Source organism: Homo sapiens, chromosome 4 (genome assembly GCF_000001405.40).
Source record: "Homo sapiens chromosome 4, GRCh38.p14 Primary Assembly".
NCBI classification, from domain to species: domain Eukaryota; kingdom Metazoa; phylum Chordata; class Mammalia; order Primates; family Hominidae; genus Homo; species Homo sapiens.
The window spans coordinates 51,672,430-51,681,329 of NC_000004.12; the positions used below are offsets into that span (position 1 = coordinate 51,672,430).

At 37.6% G+C, this 8,900-nt stretch overlaps 1 annotated feature.

The window, feature by feature from the left end:
• Positions 1 to 8,900: part of a centromere (Linear centromere model derived predominantly from reads generated in PMID: 17803354. This region does not represent an actual centromere sequence, as long-range ordering of repeats and unmapped WGS contigs is not provided by the model. For details of model production, see http://arxiv.org/abs/1307.0035.) that runs on past both edges of the window.

The window sequence follows — 8,900 nt, forward strand, 5'->3', positions numbered from 1 at the left end:
ACACTCTTTTTGTGGAATCAGAAAGTGGATATTCGGATGGCTCTGAGGATTTCGTTGGAAGCGGGATTACGTATAAAATCTAGAGAGAAGCATTCTCAGGAACTACTTTGTGATGTTTGCATTGAAGTCACAGAATTGAACATTCACTATGATAGAGCAGGTTTGAAACACTCATGCTGTAGTATCTGGAAGTGGACATTTCAAGCGCTTTCAGGCCTATGGGGAGAAAGGAAATATCTTCAAATTAAAACTAGACAGAAGCATTCTCAGAAACTTATTTGTGATGTGTGTCCTCAACTAACAGAGTTGAAACTTTGTTTTGATACAGCATTTTGGAAACACTCTTTTTGTAGAATCTGCAGGTGGATATTTGGATAGCTTAGAGGGATTCGTTGGAAAGGGGATATCTTCATATAAAATCTAGACAGAAGCATTCTCAGAAACTTATTTGTGATGTGTGTCCTCAACTAACAGAGTTGAACCTTGGTTTTGATACAGCATTTTGGAAACACTCCTTTTGTAGAATCTGCAGGTGGATATGTGGATAGCTCTGAAGATTTCGTTGGAAACGGGAATTTCTTCATATAAAATCAAACAGAAGCATTCTCAGAAACTTCTCAGTGATGTTTGCATTCAGCTCATGGAGTTGAACACTTCCTTTCATAGAGCAGGTTTGAAACACTCTTTCTGCACTACCTGGAAGAGGACATTTCGAGCGCTTTGAGTCCTATGGTGAAAAAGGAAATATCTTCTCATAGAAACCAGAAAGAAGCGTTCTCAGAAACTTCTTTGTGTTGTGTGTACTCATGTAACAGTGTTGAACCATCCTTTTGACAGAGCAGTTTTGAAACACTCTTTTTGTAGAATCTGCAAGTGTATATTTGGATAGCTTTGAGGATTTCGTTGGAAACGGGTTATCTTCATATTAAATCTAGACAGAAGCATTCTCAGGAACTTCTTTGTGATGTTTGCATTCAAGTCACAGAATTGAACATTCCCTTTCATAGAGCAGGTTTGAAACACTCTTTCTCTAGTATCTGGAAGTGGGCATTTCAAGCGCTTTCAGGCCTATGGAGAGAAAGGAAATACCTTCAAATAAAAACTAGACAGAAGCATTCTCAGAAACTTATTTGTGATGTGTGTCCTCAACTAACAGAGTTGAACCTTTGTTTTGATACAGCATTTTGGAAACACTCCTTTTGTAGAATCTGCAGGTGGATATTTGGATAGCTTTGAAGATTTCGTTGGAAACCGGAATATCTTCATATAAAATCAAGACAGAAGCATTCTCGGAAACATCTCTGTGATGTTTGCATTCAACTCAGTAGAGTTGAACACTTCCTTTCATAGAGCAGGTTTGAAACACTCTTTCTGCACTACCTGGAAGCGGACATTTCGAGCGCTTTGAGGCCTATGGTGAAAAAGGAAATATCTTCTCATAAAAACCAGAAAGAAGCATTCTCAGAAACTTCTTTGTGTTGTGTGTACTCAAGTAACAGTGTTGAACCTTCCTTTTGACAGAGTAGTTTTGAAACACTCTTTTGGTAGAATCTGCAAGTGGATATTTGGATAGCTTTGAGGATTTCGTTGGAAACGGGTTATCTTCATATAAAATCCAGACAGGAGCATTCTCAGAAACTTCTTTGTGCTGTATGTCCTCAATTCACAGAGCTGAACCTTTGTTTGGATACAGCATTTTGGAGACATTCCTTTAGTAGAATCTGCAAGTTGATATTTAGATAGCTTTGAAGATTTCGTTGGAAACGGGAATATCTTCATAGAAAATCTAGACGGAAGCATTCACATAAACTGCTTTGTGATGTTTGCATTCAAGTCACAGATTTGAATATTCCCTTTTATAGAGTAGGTTTGAAACACTCTTTCGGCACTACCTGGAAGTGGATATTTCGAGCTGTTTGAGGCCTATGGTTAAAAGGAAATATCTTCCCATAAAAACTAGACAGAAGCCGTCTCAGAAACTTGTTTGTGATGTGTGTATTCAACTACCAGAGTTGAACATTTCTGTTACAGAGCAATTTTAAAACACTCTTTCTGTGGAATCTGAAAGTGGATAATTGGATAGCTTTGTGGATTTCGTTGGAAACGGGATGACGTATAAAATCTAGAGAGAAGCATTCTCAGGAACTTCTTTCTGATGTTTGCATTCAAGTCACAGAATTGAACATTCCTTTTCAGAGTGCAGGTTTGAAACACTCTTTCTGTAGTATCTGGAAGTGGACATTTCAAGCGCTTTCAGGCCTACGGGGAGAAAGGAAATATCTTCAAATAAAAACTAGACAGAAGGCTTCTCAGAAACTTATTTGTGATGTGTGTCCTAAACGAACACAGTTGAACCTTTGTTTTGATACAGCATTTTGGAAACACTCCTTTTGCAGAATCTGCAGGTGGATATTTGGATAGATTTTAAGATTTCGTTGGAAACGGGAATTTCTTCATAGAAACTCAAGACAGATGCATTCTCAGAAACTTCTCTGTGATGTTTGCATTCCACTCATAGAGTTGAAAACTTCCTTTCATAGAGCAGGTTTGAAACACTCTTTCTGTAATATTTGGAAGTGGACATTTGCAGCGCTTTGAGGCCTATGGTGAAAAAGGAAATATCTTCTCATAAAAACCAGAAACAAGCATTCTCAGAAACTTCTTTTTGATGTGTGTACTCAAGTAACAGAGTTGAACCTTCCTTTTGACACAGCAGTTTTGAAACAATCTTTTTGTAGAATCTGCAAGTGGATATTTGGATAGATTTGAGGATTTCGTTGGAAACGGGATATCTTCATATAAAATCTAGACAGAAGCATTCTCAGAAACTTCTTTGTGCTGTATGACCTCAATTAACAGAGTTGAACCATTGCTTGCATACAGCATTTTGGAAACATTCCTTGAGTAGAATCTGCAAGTTGATATTTAGATAGATTTGAAGATTTCGTTCGAAAACGGAATATCTCCATATAAAATCTAGAGGGAAGCATTCTCAGAAACTGCTTTGTGATGTTTCCATTCAAGTCACAGAGTTGAATATTCCCTTTTATAGAGCACGTTTGAAACACTCTTTCTGCGCTATCTGGAAGTGGACATTTCGAGCGCTTTGAGGCCTATGGTGAAAAAGGAAATATCTTCCCATAAAAACTAGACAGAAGCATTCTCAGAAACTTGTTTGTGATGTGTGTATTCAACTAACAGACTTGAACTTTTGTTTTTACAGAGCAGTTTTAAAACAATCTTTTTGTGGAATCAGAAAGTGGATATTCGGATGGCTTTGAGGATTTCGTTGGAAGCGGGATTACATATAAAATCTAGAGAGAAGCATTCTCAGGAACTTCTTTCTGATGTTTGCATTGAAGTCACGGAATTGAACATTCACTTTTATAGAGCAGGTTTGAAACACTCATTCTGTAGTATCTGGAAGTGGACATTTCAAGCGCTTTCAGGCCTATGGTGAGAAAGGAAATATCTTCGAATAAAAACTAGACAGAAGCATTCTCAGAAACTTATTTGTGATGTGTGTCCTCAACTAACAGAGTTGAAACTTTGTTTTGATACAGCATTTTGGAAACACTCTTTTTGTAGAATCTGCAGGTGGATATTTGGATAGCTTAGAGGGATTCGTTGGAAAGGGGATATCTTCATATAAAATCTAGACAGAAGCATTCTCAGAAACATATTTGTGATGTGTGTCCTCAACTAACAGAGTTGAACCTTGGTTTTGATACAGCATTTTGGAAACACTCCTTTTGTAGAATCTGCAGGTGGATATGTGGATAGCTCTGAAGATTTCGTTGGAAACGGGAATTTCTTCATATAAAATCAAACAGAAGCATTCTCAGGAACTTCTCTGTGATGTTTGCATTCAGCTCATGGAGTTGAACACTTCCTTTCATAGAGCAGGTTTGAAACACTCTTTCTGCACTACCTGGAAGTGGACATTTCGAGCGCTTTGAGGCCTATGGTGAAAAAGGAAATATCCTCTCATAAAAACCAGAAAGAAGCATTCTCAGAAACTTCTTTGTGTTGTGTGTACTCATGTAACAGTGTTGAACCATCCTTTTGACAGAGGAGTTTTGAAACACTCTTTTTGTAGAATCTGCAAGTGGATATTTGGATAGCTTTGAGGATTTCGTTGGAAACGGGATGACATATAATATCTAGAGAGAAGCATTCTCAGGAACTTCTTTGTGATGTTTGCATTCAAGTCACAGAATTGAACATTCCCTTTCATAGAGCAGGTTTGAAACACTCTTTCTCTAGTATCTGGAAGTGGGCATTTCAAGCGCTTTCAGGCCTATGGAGAGAAAGGAAATACCTTCAAATAAAAACTAGACAGAAGCATTCTCAGAAACTTATTTGTGATGTGTGTCCTCAACTAACAGAGTTGAACCTTTGTTTTGATACAGCATTTTGGAAACACTCCTTTTGTAGAATCTGCAGGTGGATATTTGGATAGCTTTGAAGATTTCGTTGGAAACCGGAATATCTTCATATAAAATCAAGACAGAAGCATTCTCGGAAACATCTCTGTGATGTTTGCATTCAACTCAGTAGAGTTGAACACTTCCTTTCATAGAGCAGGTTTGAAACACTCTTTCTGCCCTACCTGGAAGCGGACATTTCGAGCTCTTTGAGGCCTATGGTGAAAAAGGAAATATCTTCTCATAAAAACCAGAAAGAAGCATTCTCAGAAACTTCTTTGTGTTGTGTGTACTCAAGTAACAGTGTTGAACCTTCCTTTTGACAGAGCAGTTTTGAAACACTCTTTTGGTAGAATCTGCAAGTGGATATTTGGAGAGCTTTGAGGATTTCGTTGGAAACGGGTTATCTTCATATAAAATCCAGACAGGAGCATTCTCAGAAACTTCTTTGTGCTGTATGTCCTCAATTCACAGAGCTGAACCTTTGTTTGGATACAGCATTTTGGAGACATTCCTTTAGTAGAATCTGCAAGTTGATATTTAGATAGCTTTGAAGATTTCGTTGGAAACGGGAATATCTTCATAGAAAATCTAGACGGAAGCATTCTCAGAAACTGCTTTGTGATGTTTGCATTCAAGTCACAGAGTTGAATATTCCCTTTTATAGAGTAGGTTTGAAACACTCTTTCGGCACTACCTGGAAGTGGATATTTCGAGCTCTTTGAGGCCTATGGTTAAAAGGAAATATCTTCCCATAAAAACTAGACAGAAGCCTTCTCAGAAACATGTTTGAGATGTGTGTATTCAACTAAGAGCGTTGAACATTTCTTTTTACTGAGCAGTTTTAAAACAGTCTTTTGGTGGAATCTGAAAGTGGATAATTGGATAGCTTTGTGGATTTCGTTGGAAACGGGATTACGTTTAAAATCTAGAGAGAAGCATTCTCAGGAACTTCTTTCTGATGTTTGCATTCAAGTCACAGAATTGAACATTCCTTTTCATAGTGCAGGTTTGAAACACTCTGTAGTATCTGGAAGTGGACATTTCAAGGGCTTTCAGGCCTATGGGGAGAAAGGAAATATCTTGAAATAAAAACTAGACAGAAGGATTCTCAGAAACTTATTTGTGATGTGTGTCCTAAACGAACACAGTTGAACCTTTGTTTTGATACAGCATTTTGGAAACACTCCTTTTGTAGAATCTGCAGGTGGATATTTGGATAGATTTTAAGATTTCATTGGAAACGGGAATTTCTTCATATAAACTCAAGACAGATGCATTCTCAGAAACTTCTCTGTGATGTTTGCATTCCACTCATAGAGTTGAAAACTTCCTTTCATAGAGCAGGTTTGAAACACTCTTTTTGTAATATTTGGAAGTGGACATTTGCAGCGCTTTGAGGCCTATGGTGAAAAAGGAAATATCTTCTCATAAAAACCAGAAACAAGCATTCTCAGAAACTTCTTTTTGATGTGTGTACTCAAGTAACAGAGTTGAACCTTCCTCTTGACACAGCAGTTTTGAAACAATCTTTTTGTAGAATCTGCAAGTGGATATTTGGATAGCTTTGAGGATTTCGTTGGAAACGGGATATCTTCATATAAAATCTAGACAGAAGCATTCTCAGAAACTTCTTTGTGCTGTATGTCCTCAATTAACAGAGTTGAACCATTGCTTGGATACAGCATTTTGGAAACATTCCTTTAGTAGAATCTGCAAGTTGATATTTAGATAGATTTGAAGATTTCGTTGGAAACGGGAATATCTTCATATAAAATCTAGACGGAAGCATTCTCAGAAACTGCTTTGTGATGTTTCCATTCAAGTCACAGAGTTGAATATTCCCTTTTAAAGAGCACGTTTGAAACACTCTTTCTGCACTATCTGGAAGCGGACATTTCGAGCGCTTTGAGGCCTATGGTGAAAAAGGAAATATCTTCCCATAAAAACTAGACAGAAGCATTCTCAGAAACTTGTTTGTGATGTGTGTATTCAACTAACAGAGTTGAACTTTTGTTTTTACAGAGCCGTTTTAAAACACTCTTTTTGTGGAATCAGAAAGTGGATATTCGGATGGCTCTGAGGATTTCGTTGGAAGCGGGATTACGTATAAAATCTAGAGAGAAGCATTCTCAGGAACTTTCTTTGTGATGTTTGCATTGAAGTCACAGAATTGAACATTCACTTTGATAGAGCAGGTTTGAAACACTCATTCTGTAGGATCTGGAAGTGGACATTTCAAGCGCTTTCAGGCCTATGGTGAGAAAGGAAATATCTTCGAATAAAAACTAGACAGAAGCATCCTCAAACTTATTTGTGATGTGTGTCCTCAACTAACAGAGTTGAAACTTTGTTTTGATACAGCATTTTGGAAACACTCTTTTTGTAGAATCTGCAGGTGGATATTTGGATAGCTTAGAGGGATTCGTTGGAAAGGGGATATCTTCATATAGAATCTAGACAGAAGCATTCTCAGAAACTTATTTGTGATGTGTGTCCTCAACTAACAGAGTTGAACTTTGGTTTTGATACAGCATTTTGGAAACACTCCTTTTGTAGAATCTGCAGGTGGATATGTGGATAGCTCTGAAGATTTCGTTGGAAACGGGAATTTCTTCATATAAAATCAAACAGAAGCATTCTTAGAAACTTCTCAGTGATGTTTGCATTCAGCTCATGGAGTTGAACACTTCCTTTCATAGAGCAGGTTTGAAACACTCTTTCTGCACTACCTGGAAGAGGACATTTCGAGCGCTTTGAGTCCTATGGTGAAAAAGGAAATATCTTCTCATAGAAACCAGAAAGAAGCATTCTCAGAAACTTCTTTGTGTTGTGTGTACTCATGTAACAGTGTTGAACCATCCTTTTGACAGAGGAGTTTTGAAACACTCTTTTTGTAGAATCTGCAAGTGGATATTTGGATAGCTTTGAGGATTTCGTTGGAAACGGGATGACATATAATATCTAGAGAGAAGCATTCTCAGGAACTTCTTTGTGATGTTTGCATTCAAGTCACAGAATTGAACATTCCCTTTCATAGAGCAGGTTTGAAACACTCTTTCTCTAGTATCTGGAAGTGGGCATTTCAAGCGCTTTCAGGCCTATGGAGAGAAAGGAAATACCTTCAAATAAAAACTAGACAGAAGCATTCTCAGAAACTTATTTGTGATGTGTGTCCTCAACTAACAGAGTTGAACCTTTGTTTTGATACAGCATTTTGGAAACACTCCTTTTGTAGAATCTGCAGGTGGATATTTGGATAGCTTTGAAGATTTCGTTGGAAACCGGAATATCTTCATATAAAATCAAGACAGAAGCATTCTCGGAAACATCTCTGTGATGTTTGCATTCAACTCAGTAGAGTTGAACACTTCCTTTCATAGAGCAGGTTTGAAACACTCTTTCTGCACTACCTGGAAGCGGACATTTCGAGCGCTTTGAGGCCTATGGTGAAAAAGGAAATATCTTCTCATAAAAACCAGAAAGAAGCATTCTCAGAAACTTCTTTGTGTTGTGTGTACTCAAGTAACAGTGTTGAACCTTCCTTTTGACAGAGCAGTTTTGAAACACTCTTTTGGTAGAATCTGCAAGTGGATATTTGGATAGCTTTGAGGATTTCGTTGGAAACGGGTTATCTTCATATAAAATCCAGACAGGAGCATTCTCAGAAACTTCTTTGTGCTGTATGTCCTCAATTCACAGAGCTGAACCTTTGTTTGGATACAGCATTTTGGAGACATTCCTTTAGTAGAATCTGCAAGTTGATATTTAGATAGCTTTGAAGATTTCGTTGGAAACGGGAATATCTTCATAGAAAATCTAGACGGAAGCATTCTCAGAAACTGCTTTGTGATGTTTGCATTCAAGTCACAGAGTTGAATATTCCCTTTTATAGAGTAGGTTTGAAACACTCTTTCGGCACTACCTGGAAGTGGATATTTCGAGCTCTTTGAGGCCTATGGTTAAAAGGAAATATCTTCCCATAAAAACTAGACAGAAGCATTCTCAGAAACTTGTTTGTGATGTGTGTATTCAACTGAGTTGAACTTTCTTTATACAGAGCAATTTTGAAACACTCTTTTTGTGGAATCTGAGAGTGGATATTTGGATAGCTTTGAGGATTTCGTTGGAAACGGGATTACATATAAACTCTAGAGAGAAGCATTCTCAGGAACTTCTTTGTGATGTTTGAATTCAAGTCACAGAATTGAACATTCCCTTTCATAGAGCAGGTTTGAAACACTCTTTCTGTAGTATCTGCAAGTGGACATTTCAAGCGCTTTCAGGCCTATGGTGAGAAAGGAAATATCTTCAAATAAAAACTGGACATAAACATTCTCAGAAACTTATTAGTGATGTGTGTCCCCAACTAACAGAGTTGAACCTTTGTTTTGATACAGCATTTTGGAAACACTGTTTTTGTAGAATCTGCGGGTGGATATTTGGATAGCTTTGAAGATTTTGTTGGAAACG